The sequence below is a fragment of the Homo sapiens genome, chromosome 4 (genome assembly GCF_000001405.40).
Source record: "Homo sapiens chromosome 4, GRCh38.p14 Primary Assembly".
Taxonomy (NCBI): Eukaryota; Metazoa; Chordata; class Mammalia; order Primates; family Hominidae; genus Homo; species Homo sapiens.
In genome coordinates, this window is record NC_000004.12 from 20,341,257 (window position 1) to 20,358,010 (window position 16,754).

Sequence of the window (16,754 nt, forward strand, 5' to 3'; positions counted from 1 at the left end):
ACCCATGGAGAATGTGTCCTCTGTTGTGTAAGAAAGAATTGGATGAGATATTATACTGAGTCAATGTTTGTACCATAACACCTTATTTTTCCTTAGACAGACAGTAAAGCAACCACTAAGGGTGCTTAGGCAGCCCCACTTACTGTTTTGTTTACTGTAACTTTTAGTGTTCACCAAACACATCTTCAAGGGCATTTTAAATAGACTTGTTTTCAAATAGAGTGAAAGAAAATTTCCGCAAGACATTTGTCATTCCTTATTTCCACACGAACCAGGAGCAGCAGGAGTGAGTGGAGAAATCCATCTGCGAGTTAATCTAGTGGAACACCACTGAGTCTGATCATTTGACAGAAGTAATTGTATCTAGGGGAAGTATTCAGGTCTCTGCTTTGTGGTAAACATCCTGCCCTCCTAAAACTGTGAGGTTGAAAAAGATCAACAAAACAGCCATTTAACGCATTATTGACAGATACAAGTTTTAGAGAATTAATCACTATTAACTAACTGTATTACATACTCACACTTAATACTAGAAATAATTATAGCTTCTTTAGGTATGAAGTAGATTTGTGTCTTTACTTCTAATTCTCTAATCATTCATGAATTTGCTGAATTTAGATTCTGTTTCAGTTAATGTTTGTCAAATAGGATGTTATAATTTTCGCATGAAATTGCATTTTTGTCTACATGGTTAACTTCCTAGAGTTTGTTCTTTTCTGGTAGTCAAAATCTATGATGAATTTATTAATAATGATATTAGGGTAAAAAAGTCATTGAACATATTTTGTGTTCAGTTCAGTGAGTTGAATTCAGTTGCTAGATTTCTTTGTATAACTGGGCAGATTAGGACATAATTTTTAGAAAGTGTACCATTTATTATTACTAGTTAATTAATCACATTTCTAGGAAATTAGTGATTTCCTTTAAGTTTATATTCCACTGTGGGATAAAATAAAATTAACATCTGTTTAGCATTGTATGCCAAGTATGGTTGATGATGCAGATTTCATGGATGATTTTACTAATAGACACATTAAAATAATAAAAATAAAAGTAAATTTTCTAATAATTCCAGACAATATATTGATAAATACTAAAATGGAAAAATGAATTATAGTGTTGTTTATTTGAGTGTTGATATCTGGGATAATCAAAACCCATCATATATGCTAACAGGGTTTTACCACATCATTTTTCCCATACAGAATCTCACATAGCTTTACATTTGAGAAGAGGTGGAATTTGACTCACGCTATTTCTAAATCTGACTTTTATATCATAATAAAGTATTACCTAGGATAGAACTTTTAGCATAAATCTAATTAATCTATGATTTAGAATCTAGATTTGAATATGCTACTTTAAAATAAAAATATTGATTTATTTATTCCTTTTTTAACCTCTTAAAATAGATATCTTATAGTTATTTGATTTGATTCTGCCATTCATCGACTATCGCACTTTTTTTTTTTTTTTTTTTTTTTTTGCACAAATACACGTTCTAATGTCGGTCCATGTGCTGGAGATACAGGCATAAGCAACAGCAGGGTTGACTAGCTGTGGATAGTGGTACATGATTAGAAGCCTAAATGTGTAAGTCAGGAAACTAATAAATCCTGCCTGCCTTGCCTGCCTTTTCTTCCTTCATTTTCTTTCTTTTCTTTCTTTTTTTCTTTCATTCTTTCTTTTTTCCATTATTTTTGATGCATTATACTTGTACATATTTTGAGATACATCTGAAATTTTGTTACATGCATAGAATGTACAATAATCAATTCAGGGTGTTTAGGGTATCCATCACCCTGAAGAGAGGGTGTTCCTCTCTTCTAGCTATTTTAAAAGTACAGTACACTGTTGTTAGCTACTAACACTTATACTCTTCTATCAAAGGTTAGGATTTATTCCATCTATCTAATTGTATGTTTGTACCCATTAACCAGCCTCTCTCTTCATCCCCCAATCCACTCATACACCCTTCCCAGTCTCTGATATCTATCATTCCACTCTCCATTACTTCGTGGGGTCAACATTTTTAGCTCCCACATATAAATGAGAACATGTAGTATTTTCTTTATCCCTGGCTTATTTCACTTGACGTAATGATCTCCATTTTTATTTTATTTTATCCATGTTGCTGCAAATGACATGATTTCATTTTTTATGGCCAAATAGTATTCCATTGTGTATGTATACGCAATTTATCCTTTCATAACCCTGTATTGCTGATAATCACTTAGATCTTCATAAAACTTTTTTTTTTCTTGAGATTAAGTCTCACTCTGTCACCCAGGCTGGAGGGCACCGACAGCATCACGGCTCACAGCACCCTCAACCTCCTGGGCTTAAGCAGTCTTTCCATTTCAGCCTCCTGAGTAGCTAGGGCTACAGGCATGTGCCACTGTGCTAAGCTAATTTTTATATTTATTTTTTTGTAGAGACAAGATCTCACTATGTTGCTCAGGCTGGTCTGAAACTCCTAGGCTCAAGCTACCCTCCCTCTCCAGCCTCCCAAAGTGTTGGGATTATAGGCATGAGTCCTTAAAACTAAAAAAAAAAAAAAAAAAAATTGACATTCATTCAGTAATCTATTATTATTATTAGTATTATTTTTTTGAGATGGAGTCTCGCTCTGTTGTCAGGCTGGAGTGCAGTGTCATGATCTCACCTCACTGTAACCTCCGCCTCCTGGGTTCAAGCAATTCTCCTGCCTCAGCCGCTCCAGTAACTGGGACTACAGATGTGCACCACCACACCCGGCTAATGTTTTGTATTTTGGTAGAGATGAGGTTTCACCATGTTGGCCAGGATGGTCTCGATCTCCTGACCTTGTGATCCACTCACCTCGGACTCCCAAAGTGTGGGATTACAGGCGTGAGCCACCGCGCCCGGCCACAAAGTATCCTTTTAAATATAGTTGAAACCACAAAGGGAAATGTGGTGTTTTTGCTACCGTGGCTTACAATCCAGGAGAGTAGACAGACACCTGATGAGACAGATACCCCTCTGATAAAGTTGACAATGATGTAAGTGCTATAAAGAGAAAATGAGTTTCTCTGGGATTGGGGAAGTGAGAATTCATTTTGATTAGAGCAATTTGGGAAGAATTCTTGGAGAAATTTTTTTAGGTATTATACACGATTTCATGGTCTTCTCCAAGATTTTGATATTTCTCTCGGTCTCTCTCTTTCATTCTCTCTGTCTTTCTGCCTGCATTGAAACACTGCTAGCAAAAATTTTGATGTTGCCAGGGCATATAAGGCTTTAAATGAAAGGAATAGCCATCTGTTGTGACTGACTGAGGCAGGGAGAGTGGATATGTAGTCAATATTTTCTCTTTCCTTTCCTTTTACTTCCAAAGTCTTCACACATGATTTGTATCCTTTTTCTGTCTCCCTCATTGATATCCTGGAATCTTTTGCTCTGTCCATTCTAGTGAACTGCTTTGTGAATGGTCACTGTTGAACTTGACTTAGTCAAATATAAGAACTTCTAATCATACTAATCCCCTTTAACCTCTGTGGGTTAAGAGATACTACTGATAACCCTAGCTTCTGAAAATCATTTTCTCATGAGAGTTTCTTTCTGTTATTTTTTCTGCACTTTTCTTTTGTTTAAATATGAAAGATATTTTTCTCCTCTAATGCATTTTTGGAAGAGAACATGCTTAATTTTAAATTCTGTAGTGCTTACCTTGCCACGTGTATGTATGTAATAGAAGCTCTATAAAGATACTGAGATTAATTTTGGGAGTGATTATATTGGTCATACCCACCATTAATTATTGATAGTAAAATACATAAGTTATGTGGATAGAATTAAACTAATATTTTTGTGAAATAATACAAATATCTATGTTTTAAATCAAATTAAATTTGATTTTAAGTTTGCATCCTATGAGGCAGGTAAGAAATTAAATCTCAATCATTATGGCACACCTCCCCAAAAATAAAATCCTGTGAGAATAGAGGATATTGGGTAGTACTCAGAAAATAATGGCAGGTCTTCTCTCTTTAGTCTGTCTTGGTCTGTGCTGATATATTTTTATCCACATCTCCTTGAAAACCTGTAGCTCTTTGGCTTTGTGCCTCAATTAGAGCACAGGAACTTTTGCCAAGGTTGGGAGCTTGAATGTCCAGGTCCAGCATCCTATTGCACACTTTTCCCTGCAGAAACCCTGCTATTCACTAATGGTACTTTAAAAATCTGGCTCTTTCCTGGTCTGGAATACTTATTTCTTTTTTTTTTCCTTTTTTCTTTTTCTTTTTCTTTTTTCCTTTTTTCTTTTTTCTTTTTTTTTGAGATAGAGTCTCACTTTGTCACCCAGGCTGGAGTGCAGTGGCGTGATCTTGGCTCACGGCAACCTCCACCTCCCGGGATCAAGCAATTCTCCTGCCTCAGCTTCCTGAGTAGCTGGGACTACAGGCACACACCACCATGCCCGGCTAATTTTTGTATTTTTAGTAGAGATGGGGATTCACCATGTTGGCCAGAATGGTCTCGATCTCCTGACCTCATGATCCACCCACCTCGGCCTCCCAAAGTGCTGGGATTACAGGCGTGAGCACCCACGTCTGGCCTGAAATACTTATTTCTATGTGACTCTTCTTGATCCCCTTTCTCCTATCTTCATGGAGCCAGTTTCCTGAAAAGAAGTACCTTGAAGCAAGATATCTGTAGACTAATTCTGCATTTGCCCTTGTAATCCAAAGTTTCTCAACCTAGGCACTATTTATTTTTGTTGTTGTTGTTGTTTTGGAGACAGAGTCTTTCTCTGCCACCCAGGCTAGAGTGCAGCGGTATGACCATGGCTACTGCAGCCTCGAACTTGCTGATTCAAGCAATTCTCCCATCTCGGCCTCCCAAGTAGCTGGAACGACAAGCACGCACCACTATGCCCTGCTAAATTTTAAAATATTTTTGTAGAGATGGGAGCCTCCCTCTCTTGTCCAGGCTGGTCTCCAATTCCTGGGCTCAAGCTATCCGCCTGCCTCGTGCTCCCAAAGTGTTGAGATTACAGGCATGAGCCATCACTCCGGGCCACTCTTGATATTTTGGACCAAATAATTCTTGTATATGAGAAGCTGTCCTGTATAGATACCAGTAGCATCCCTCAATTGTAACAATAAAAAATGTCTCCAGAAATTGCCAAATATCCTCTGAGGGGCAAAATAACACCTGGTTATGAACCACTGTTAAAATCTGAAGTTATTGAGGTATGAAAGACTGTTAATAAATTACGCTGTAACAGATATAGTGTTGGATGATGTATTAGGGTTCTCTAGAGGGGCAGTACTAATAGCATATATGGATATATGAAAGGGAGTTTATTAAGGAGAAGTGACTCACACAGTCACAAGGTAAAGTCCCATGATAGGCTGTCTGCAAGTCGAGAAGCAAGGAAGCCAGTGGTGGATCAGTCCAAGTCCCAAAACCTCAAAAGTCAGGAAGCTGACAATGCAGCCTTCAGTCTGTGGCCAAAGGCCTGAGAGCCCCTGACTATCCACTGGTGTAGGTACAAGAGTCTTAAAGCTGAAGAACTTGGAGTCTGATATTCGAGGGCAGGAAGCATCCAGAACGGGAGAAAGATGAAGACCGGAAGGATCAGCAAGTCTGGTCCTTCCACGTTCTTCTGCTGCTTTTATCCTAGCCAAGCTGGCCCCTGATTAGATGGTACCCACCCGGATTGAGGATGGGTCTGTCTCTCCCAGTCCACTGACTCAAATGTTAATCTCCTTTGGCAACACCCTCACAGACACACCCAGTAACAATACTTTGCATCCTTCATTATGATGAAGTTGACACTCCGTATTAACCATCACAGATGATACCAATTATCCTTTGGAAAATATCAGAAAATGAGTCAGATTAGTAGCCAGATGGAAGATGGTAAAGAAAAGGAAGCGGATTGGCACTTATGTGTCAGCAAGATGTTATTGCCATTTTATAGAGCACTGAGGGATTGTTTGCCATGGATGCTTCTCTGTTAGGTAAAGGAGGCAGGGCTCAAGCCCACATCTATTCAACCTTAGAATCCCAGGACTTTTCATGATACCATATACTGTTCCAGCTATGTAACTCACTTTGCCAAATATTTAAGTACATAATTAAGAAGACTGAATTCTTTTTTTTATTTGTATAAATTTAGGGGTACAGTGCAGTTTGATTTCATGAGTCTATTGCATGGTGGTGAGGGAGAAGACTACATTATTTACCTTACTTATTCCTGTGGCATTTTTTAGTAGGCACTGGGTGACAGGCATCAGTGTATTTCACCAAAGATAAGTCAGAATATAAAACACCATCAGTTCATTCTGATATGAGTGGCAAATATGTCAGGAATCCTTAAGAGTTTTGCCTTTTATAAATTATATGCATGGAAACATCCATCAGGCTTAGCTAAAAGCCCATGCTATTTACTATTTTGCTAAACTCTCATTCTTTTAAGCCAAGTTAGGCAACTGAGAAGGCGAGAGAGCAGTGATGAAGCAGATATGATACCCTTTCAAAACTACACATTGTGTAATACGGCAGATGCAACAGAAGCAAAGGGTGAAATGAAGAGAAGTAAAGCTCATAGATACCCAGGGACTTGGCTCTAGCATCTTTTTATGCTGTGTATAATGAGCTTTGACTTTATTCTCTAACACACTAGAAAGCCATGGAAGGATTTTAAGCAATATCATTGTTTCATGAACAAATCTTTGTTTTAGGAAAACAAAACAAAACACTAGTACTGTTACAATTTAAACATTGAATAAAAGTCTGGATGCTGTTGGTATAATCTAATTTTAAAAAGGGTGTGTACCAACACCGTACCAGTGGTGACCATTTATGTATTTACGTATTTATTTATTTTTGTATTTGACTAAAGTTTTTAATTTTAATTCATAAGTTTTCAGAGTTTAGTGAGCAACCAAATCACCTGTTAAAATGCTGAGTCTGATACATTGGGTTTAGATGAGGCCCAAGACTCATGTTTTTTGTTTGTTTGTTTTGTTTTGAGATGGAGTCCCACTCTGTTGCCCAGGCTGGAGTGCAGTGGCATGATCTTGGCTCATTGCAACCTCCACTTCCCAGGTTGAAGCAATTCTTCTGCCTCAGCCTCCCAAGTAGCCGGGACTACAGGCATGCACCACCATGCCTGGCTATTTTTTTTTTTTAATATATTTTTAGTAGAGATGGGGTTTCACCAGGCTAGCCAGGGCTGGTCTGGAACTCCTGACCTCAGGCAATCCGCCTGCCTTGGCCTCCCAAAGCGCTGGGATTACAGACGTGAGCCACTGCACCCGGCCTGACTCACATTTTTAGCAAGCTTCCAGATGATGCCAATGCCTCTAGTTGGGCAAGGCTATGAGCTGCCAAGTTCTAATGACAGCCACTGTGCTAGACAAGGGGAGAATAAGGTAGTGGCATGTAGTATTGCAACTGTAATCCCAGGTGACTGGAATATAAGTGCTCTGTCATTAAGAGTTCGTTTGTCAACGTCTTGAGTCTTAAATATCCTGTGTTGGTTTCATTCTGATTTCACACAGTGGCCTTCTGCAGCTCTGGGAGTTCATCCTCCCAGATTCAAGTTTTACAGAAAGAAATTACTTGGCACTTTCACAGAAATCCCAGTGAGAAGCCTCATTGCATTTGTTCCAGTTAAGTCATATGGCTGCTTCTGAATCTAAACAAATCACTGTGGTGAGAAGACTATGATGTTCTAATTAGCCTGACTCCACTTTGCCTTTTCCTAGAATCAGTAGTAGAGTCAACTCCATCTGAGGTGCTTGGACTGGTAATATGGAAATTGTGCCATTCCCAAAGAGAAAGTGAAGATGTTGAACTACAAAGGTGATTGGATATCTATTACATATAGGAATTCGGTGTGGACAAGAGGTTTCCATACTTTCTTGGTTTCTTAGGAAATGTTCATGATACCCTCAAGTCCAAAAGAAATGCCTGAGAGTTGATTTATTCGGCAGTTAGTTCCAAATGATGTAAGATTTACGTCCTTACTATTAAGTAGCTGTTTGATAAAATAATACATAAGGACTTGAAGAAAATTAATATTTTTGTTTCCATCTTATATAAACACAATCACTTCCTAACAAGGATGTGCACAGCTATTGGGCTGTACAGAACGTCTTGCCCTTAGATTGAGATTGGATACTGTCACCCTCACTTCCTGTTCTGCATGGATTTTCATGCAGTAGTTCCCTTTTTTATTCTAATGGTAACCACTAAAGCCCAGATTTATAAAGATATGATGCTATTGAAAGAAATGTACTGTGAGCTCCACGTTTCCTGAAACTGCAAAGTACTTGAAGCTAGTTTTTGATGTGAACTTCAATAAATGTTCAGTATCATTGTGTTTCCCTGAAAATGTTAAAGTATCACGAAAGCCCCATGAATTCCCCAAATTGCTTTTGTGCACAGATTGAGAACCATAATCTTAGGACTTTTATATTTGAATTTCTTATTAGACATCTTTGTAGAGATGTAGAATAAAATGTTGACCCTATGGGTTCAGTTCTGATAAGAGATCTGGGCTGGTGAGGCATCTCAGCACAAAGGTTGGATTCCTTTGGTATCATGGCCTATAGTGCTCTAGGCATGCACTACACATCTTTCTGTCTCTTCAAGAGAAGAATAACATATGTCTGCTCCACTACCACACAACTTTACAATGCACTGTTTTATTTTTTGATCTGAATCTGTATAAGTAATATTCTACTTGGAGTAACTCATCCTAGTATTTGCATTCTACATGTGCATTCACATTTACAGTAGACTGCAATAAGAGTGATTTTTATCCTAAGCTCTGGATAGTTCATATATTGGCATAAATTACTAAGAGGTAGGCATCATGTACTTCTTGTTCAGATTGCAAACCCTCTGAAGTTTAAATCTTGTTCCTTAAAACGTAACCATCTGTGGGATAGCTCAATTAATAAGCACTGAGCAGAGCATACTTTTGATTCTGAAGTGATTTTTTTTATTAAATAAGTCGATATAGTATTTTCTCAGTGATTACGCTTTTCTCCTTGCTTTTTTTTTTTAATGCTGAGTACAAATATCCTCCAACCCAATTTTAAAAATAACTTATATGTAGTCTGGAACCAGTAGATTTCCCAAAGCATGAGCAAATTCTATTTTACTGGAGTCAATAATGTTTCAATCTCTCAAGTCCATGTGTGAGATATAGTGAATCATTGTCATATTATCATTATATCACTATGGCTCATCTCATAAGATCCCGCATCATCTGATGGCCCTATCATTACTGCTTATTTTGCAGAATAATATGTAAGTCTCTTCCTAAAATCCAGAAAACAAATGGATTGAAAATATTAAGTACATCATTATTATGTAAATATTTAATTTTTGAAATAAAAATATGGAAGCTAGTAACAATTGTTCAGTTACTAGGGAAACACTAGTTAGATTTTTCTGTTTAAATATTCAAATTGCTGGGTTTGGTAGCTCATGCCTGTAATCCTAGTGCTTTGGAAGGCCAAAACAGGAGGATCACTTGAGGCCACGAGTTTGAGACCAGCTTGGGCAAGAAGTAAGACCCCATCTCTACAAAAAAAATAAAGAGTTAAATAATTTCAACTTTTACTTATAAAAGTAATATAATATTAAAATGCGTATTCTTTCTATTAAATTATCTTTTTAATAACTTTTAATACTGCAAACAAAATATTTGAAAAGTATTAGTGCAGCATTGGCCATTGTTCACAGTAGATCTGGAACACACAACTTCATTATACATGTTTTTGAGGTTTGATATAGTCTGTTTCTTTTTTTCTTTTTTTTTTTTTGAGACTGAGTTTTGCCCTTGTTGCCCAGGCTGAAGTGCAATGCTGCAATCTCGGCTTACTGCAACCTCCGCCTCCTGGGTTCAAGCAATTCTCCTGCTTCAGCCTCCTGAGTAGCTTGGATTTCAGGCTCCCACCAACACGACTGTCTAATTTTTGTATTTTTAGTAGAAACGGAGTTTTGCCATGTTGGCCAGGCTGGTCTCAAACTCCTGACCTCAGGTGATCCACCCGCCTCGGCCTGCCAAAGTGCTGGGATTACAGGCATGAGCCACCACACCCGGCCTATAGTCTGTTTCACAAATGGCAGAAACATTGCTTGGCTATGGATGTGTAGATATGACATTATAATATATTAGGACATAGAAAGTAACTCTTTTTCTATTGCAATTTCCCTGTCTTCATAAATTGGCCTTTCTGGGCAGTGGGCAAGAAGAACCCAACACTTATATGAGAATTCCCACCCTGATTCCTCTCTACCACAGACAGCTCCCCAGGTTACTCAATTATCATTACTGCCAGGTGACAACCTCCACTTACAAAGATGAGGACACTGACCATCCCGGGCACAAGATCAGTGAGTGGGGAAGCAGGGTCACATGGAGGTGGGAAGAGTGGATGGGCAGTCCTGGGCAGCTCTGAAGTGGGACAGTATGAAAGGAAGGCCCTGGGCTTTGTCCCTATGAGTACCTATTGTGTCACATAAACAATAGTGTGTTAATGGGGTGCTGAAAAAGTCTCCTGCTTAAGCAACTCAGTTTGTTTATGATTATGAATGTCAGCAGAGGTCTATAAATGACAATGCAGTTTGTGTTTTGATGATTGTCTCTCTGATGGGGGTGTTGATAGCTTTTCTTAGTTCTTGTCTCAGCATTTATTCTTGATTGGCATATGACAGTCATATTCTTGGGTTCTGTTGGTGTTTTTAAATCATGCACATGCTTGAATTTCTCTTACAGAGCGAGAATGACATTATATCTGCTGCTTGTTAAATAGATTCTCAGTTTATGCTGGCAAAGTGTCAGTGCTGTATGTCTCTATGTATGCAATTTTTCTTTTGTACAGTCATTTTTCTCTTAGCATTCTAAAGATTGATTGAACTCTTGTGTTATAGCAGTACTTAATGTGTCACTTACTGAACTTAAAATCATCACTGTAACTCAATGCATAACGCTATTCATCATCCATTGAACCTGTCACTCCTGCTGATTGTGCAGAATAAAAGCCTCTTCTCACCTTTTTTTTTATTATAACAGATATAGTTTGTGCATTTTTTCTTCATGTTTTAACTGATATTTTGTCATCAGTTCTCTGATGTTTATCAAGAGTTAACTTTTTTTCCAACCCAGATTAATACAGGTTAGAGAGTAGAGGAGTTTGTTAATACGTAACAACTACTAATCACTAAGGCTAGATTTATTACATATAAATATGTCAAATTAGATAAACGCTACTTAAAATTTTGGCTGTTGGAAAAATATTAACTTGTACCTTCAAATTTATTAGGGCTCAAGGCATATTAAACTTTATAGCAGACTTTGGATGTTTTATCTTTTAAGAAATATTTGAGGCCGGATGTAGTGGCTCACGCCTGTAATCCCAGCACTTTGGGAGGCCGAGGCAGGCAGATCACGAGGTCAGGAGATTGAGATCACCCTGGCTCAACATGGTGAAATCCCATCTCTACTGAAAATACAAAAATTAGCTGGGCATGGTGGCATGCACCTATAGTCCCAGCTACTCGGGAGGCTGAGGTGGGAGAATCGCTTGAACCTGGGAGGCAGAGGTTGCCATGAGCCGAGAGTGCGTCACTGCAATCCAGCCTGAAAACTGAGTGAGACTCCATCTAAAAATAATGATAATAATAATTTGACTTAGTGAACAAATTTGCAGTAAAACAGAAAAAATAATATAGATTACACACCTTTATAAAATCTGTTGTATAATCATCTAGAGATGCAATTTGAATGCAGCAGTATAACGGAGAAGCATCAGATGAATTCTCAGAGTATATCAATCTTGCCTTTGTTCTAGATTAGAGCCTGGTTTTTAGCTAGAGGTGCTGTAGTAGGAAAAACAGGTTTGTATTGATTCAGATTGTGTGTGCATTCATAGCAGATGTGGAATGACATATTTCTGCCAGATAATTATCACTTAGCAAAGGGTAAAACATTAGAACATCATGAAAGTTAAAGTTTTAACTTCACAGGAAAAAAAGGAGCTTTACTTTAAAGCATGATGAAAATTATAGAATTTATGCATAACTCAGTTATTTTGTTCTGAACTTTAAGAAGAAACTTTCAGAAGACATCCCTAAAAAAGCAAGTATAATGACCATAGTATGAAACTTAATTGTGATATAATAAAGCTTTTTGCTGTATCCAGACATGTTACACAAATATTCTTTATGAATTACATAAACAGAAAGGCAGGAGCTAGTACAAATAATGAAGAATATTTATTTAAAAAAAACAAAAAGCGGTTATTTTATGTAGAACAGGCTGCATACATTATTTATTACACCGTATTCAAAATATTGTACAACTCTGTTATGAGGAATTTTACTTGCACTTGGAGAATACAGGTAAATACATTAGAGGCTTATAGATCCTGAATGCAGCTGCAGATAGTGTCCCTTAAAAGAAGAAATGCAGCTGGTTTCCTATTTCCCACTCTTTTTTGTGCCAGACAAGGAAGTGACTTTCTTTAGAAAAGAGGATTATAATAGTCATATCCTTAAATGAGGAAACTAGAACCAGATTTCTTTTTAGAACTTGCAGTGGGGATTAGAAGAAATGTTGCAATAAACTTTAGGTTATTCTAATCTCAGTTTACTAAGTTTTTGGTAACACTGCTCATTTAACATTGGAAAGAGATGGGATCTGCATAATAAAGTATACTTCCCATAACTTAAAAGTAATCATGTTCATTGCGTAGGATAAAATCATCCGTTATTCCAAAACCAGAGGAAACTGCAAAAAAAGAGTGCTGTGTTAGCAGTGACTTAAGTATCCTTTCACAGTTTGCTAAAAATTTTTAAGAAATTTTTGCAATTTCCCTCAAATTAACTACCAGGCAGGCATCAATTTGTCATTTTTGTATATTGCATTAAAGCATTTAATGCTAAATTAAGACGGAAAGGTAGGTTTTTTTTCTTTTTTTTTTTAACTTTTCCTTTCTGCAAAAAAAAATCAAACATTTATTAACTGCTCTCTATTGTTGTCTTTCTCTTTAGAAGGTAATTTGTGGTCAGTGGAGCCCAGCAGGGAAGCTCCTTCTCCTCCAGATGGCAGTGACATTTGAGAAAACCTTGGAGGATTAAAGACACTCTAGTGAGCACTCACTGCAAAGTCCTGACACAATTTGACAGTCCTAATCTGGGTCCTCAACTGATTGGATGACCAAGGGCACAAAATTCTCATCCAACTGTGCAATCACCAGGCACATTGTTAAGGGCACTAAAAATGTTCCAAAGTTTTGGTGACTGTTTTAAACAAAAATATATAAACCTTTTCTTCATGGCATGTTTTTGGAAAAGGTCTTGGAGGTACCTTGCATGGCTTTTAAAAACTGACTATATTTTTGCATGAATGAGCACAGCATGCTATAAATGTCTTTACTCTTTATTAAGTAGGGTTTGCAAACAATCTAAATGGTTAAATGGTAGAGGAAACTATAGAAATTGATCTCAGTGAGCAAAGCCTACCAAATCTAATTATATATTGTCACCATCTGCTGCAATATGATAACAGAATTAATACAATTACTTTGAGAATTTTGAAGAAAAAACTTTTGAAAAAAATGGACACGTGTGGCAAGTCTGCGTGTGTGTGTGTGTGTGTGTGAGAGAGAGAGAGAGAGAGAGAGAGAGAGAGAGAGAGAGAAGCAAGGGCAAGAAAAAAATGCCATCTTAGCTGTTCTTTCTTTTTCTGTTTCTTTTTTACCTTTCCTCATTTTTAAGTTATTGCTTAAAATGATTTGAAATATGTTTTCCTAATTTTCGTGTTGATTAAAGTTATCAAGTTTTGGTAAGGTGATTTTATGGGTTTGGAATTTTAATTATATCCACTGCAGCTTCTAAAATCACCATGGCAACAGGTGTGTAATTATCAACATTGCACATAGCTTCAATGTGTAATGCATTTCTTCTGGCTGAATGAATATTAAATCATACTGCTTAACACCTCCTCTACTAGTAAACAGATAAGGCTTTGGCCATGGCTTGCAAATTGATCTTGCTTCTGTAGATTTCTATTACTGCAGAGCCATTGAATGGGGTAATTTGTGCCTTTGAGGGTTTTCTGACTTTGCTAGAGCATGACAGAAAGTCCAGTTTTATTTCATGTAATGAGAAAAAAAACATGTTTAATTATTACTCACATTTCCATTAGTAGAATTCTTTCCAAGAGAATATTCTCCTTATTGTTTTCCATTTCAAGGTGTGTATTCAGGACAGATGAGATTTTTTTAAAAAAGACATTTTCTTAAGGAAAGCTTACATTTTAAATGCTACTTTTCCTAGCAAATGCAGGTGGTCATTGTATGAAGCACATATGAAATGAAACCTTTGATTTAATACCAAACTATAGCCTACTGTCAACTCTAAGAAAACTGTATGATCCATAATTTTAAGTAAACCAAAACTTTACTTTGTTTCTAATATTCCAGGTGGTCTTTTCAGACTGATATCTATGTAGAAGTACGCAAGAAAGTGACGTGATTATCTGATTATCAGATTATGTTTATATGTCTCTGATTGTTATCAAGCTCAAAATTTTCCTTAAATAGCTATGGAAAGAGATAGCAGTTTACTACTACTACTATTATTATTAGGTCATCTAATGTAATTCAATTTATAAATCTGATGCATACATTTGACTGATAGGATACAGACTTTTAAGGACCTAGCATTATAAAAAATATAATTTAAATACATAGATCAAATAGAGCCATATATAATATTGTTAAATAGGGAACAAGATAAATGATTATGAAGATGTATAGATCTTTTAATCATTCAGTGTTTGTTTTTAGTGGACATTTTATTTTGGGATGCCATTCAGTAACTTGAAGTTATTAAATGAAGCATAATCAATATTAGAACAAAAGCCAGCATAAGAAGATTTATTTAAATTTGATGTATTTAGAATTTGGAGTCTGGTCACTAGAATTTTGAGGCTAGGTGATTCTATGAAAGGCTGTATGTAACCACCTTCTACTCTATTCCTTCCTCTCCACCCAGGTCAAATATCCCAGAATATGGTATTATTTAAGTATCATCAACTTTTAATTTTAGTGTGTTTCCATTTTCAAACTAAGACAGGTGCAAAGTTGAGGTTACCAGCGGTACAAGATCAGATCACCTAGTTAGATATTGATGCATAGTAAAATGTAGCCTAACACACTCTATTCATAATGTGGATTGACAACTAAGAAAAAAGTGAATGCTTTATTCACACAAATAGGTTAATATTCCTGAAATAGTGTCCAATGCATTTAAAGCCATTTAAAAGAACATAGAGAATACATTATTTTTCTTAGCTTATTTCTCCAGTATTTCTCCCTGTATTACTCTAGCTCATATTTAGACTTTTTGTTAATCTTAGAAAAAGGATAAACACACACAGTGTATTTCTGCAGACTCCCCTTTAATGGATCTCTGCCAGTGTTAGCCATTGTTTCAGTTGCCTGTGGCTGCTCAACTGTGCAAGGTTGCCTGGAAACGCTCCTTCTTCAGTGCAAAGCTCTCCGGCCACTTTCCATACCTCCCAGCCCAGGGCTTAAAGATTCAGGGACTCCAGCCACTGGTGTTTCTTTTTGAAATCTCCTTAGTAAACTAATGATCTTGTAAATGTAGAAAACAGAAAAATTACTTCTCAGTCTGTAGGGCGTGCAAGTTTAAAACAAAACAAAACAAAAACTTTGAAAAAAATATGTATTTGTTACAAGTTAAAACAAATACAATTTTTCTTCTCTATTGAATTTGATTTAAAATTTTGTTAAACCAGCATTTTGTAATGTGTAATATTTTTGGCAAATATTTTAAGTTAACATCTACCACTGTCTTTCAGCCTGGAAATTGTGTGCTATTCCCATCAAGGTTACATCATGTTTCCATTACTCCTTTAATTGGGGGAAGTTTCAAAGTCAGACACCTTGATTTGGAATTTCAATGCTTTTAACAAATTTTAAAGCAAGTACCACTATTAGGTAACAGAATATTATTATTACTCACTTTTTTCCTTGGTTAAATTTGTTTGTTAGTCCTAAGAGGCTTTAGGAATATAAAATGAATGTGATGTTTGATAGTATCAATACAGTTGATTTTACTTGTCTCTGCTATTTTCTCTTTTCATATTATAACTTAATAACAACAACAAATTAGAGATATGCTATTTTTCCACAGTTAGTTCAAGTTTCTAATTCTGGAGTATAAGATGGGGATATCACTGTGCATGAGTTAAATAGATGCCCCTACATAATACCTATATATCATTACTAGTTTTAAAAGAAAGATTATGTAAAAAGTGGTAGTAGGTAGTAGGTAGTCTTTTTCTTTTGTTACAAGTGCTTTGAAATTACTGGTTTGTGATATAGGATGTGAAAAGAAAGACAAAATCCGTGATGTTTGAAAGACATACTATTATCAGATATGGCTTACTTAAAATTAGTTATTAGACTTTGGTCTCCTAACAGCTTTTATTCCCCCCAATATACTTTCAAATTCCGATTTTCAGAAATCTTAATTGTACAATATTAATATTGCTACAGACACAAACTTTGCTAGCCCTTTATTGGTAGATTACATAGACTACATTGGTTATTAGATTTTAAAGTTTATTAATAACATCATATCCATTCAAGTTTATTTTAATACTTTTTCCTTATTTATTTAAGGAATTACTTCAGGTGATATGTGGATTTTAATTGTTACATAAATGCATTTTA

General features: G+C 36.3%; 1 protein-coding gene across 7 annotated transcripts in view, besides 1 other annotated feature; it reads left to right on the forward strand.

Moving 5' to 3' along the window:
* Positions 1-16,754, forward strand: part of SLIT2 (slit guidance ligand 2) — a 368,657-nt gene that overhangs the window by 89,352 nt on the left and 262,551 nt on the right. The gene's annotated exons all lie outside the window — the stretch shown is intronic.
* Positions 10,283-10,828: an enhancer, noted in NCBI's record as "NANOG hESC enhancer chr4:20353162-20353707 (GRCh37/hg19 assembly coordinates)". NCBI's record gives its function as "activates a minimal SCP1, AML or CMV promoter by ChIP-STARR-seq in naive H9 embryonic stem cells {active_cell/tissue: H9 hESC(naive)}" and the evidence as "EXISTENCE:reporter gene assay evidence [ECO:0000049][PMID:30033119]".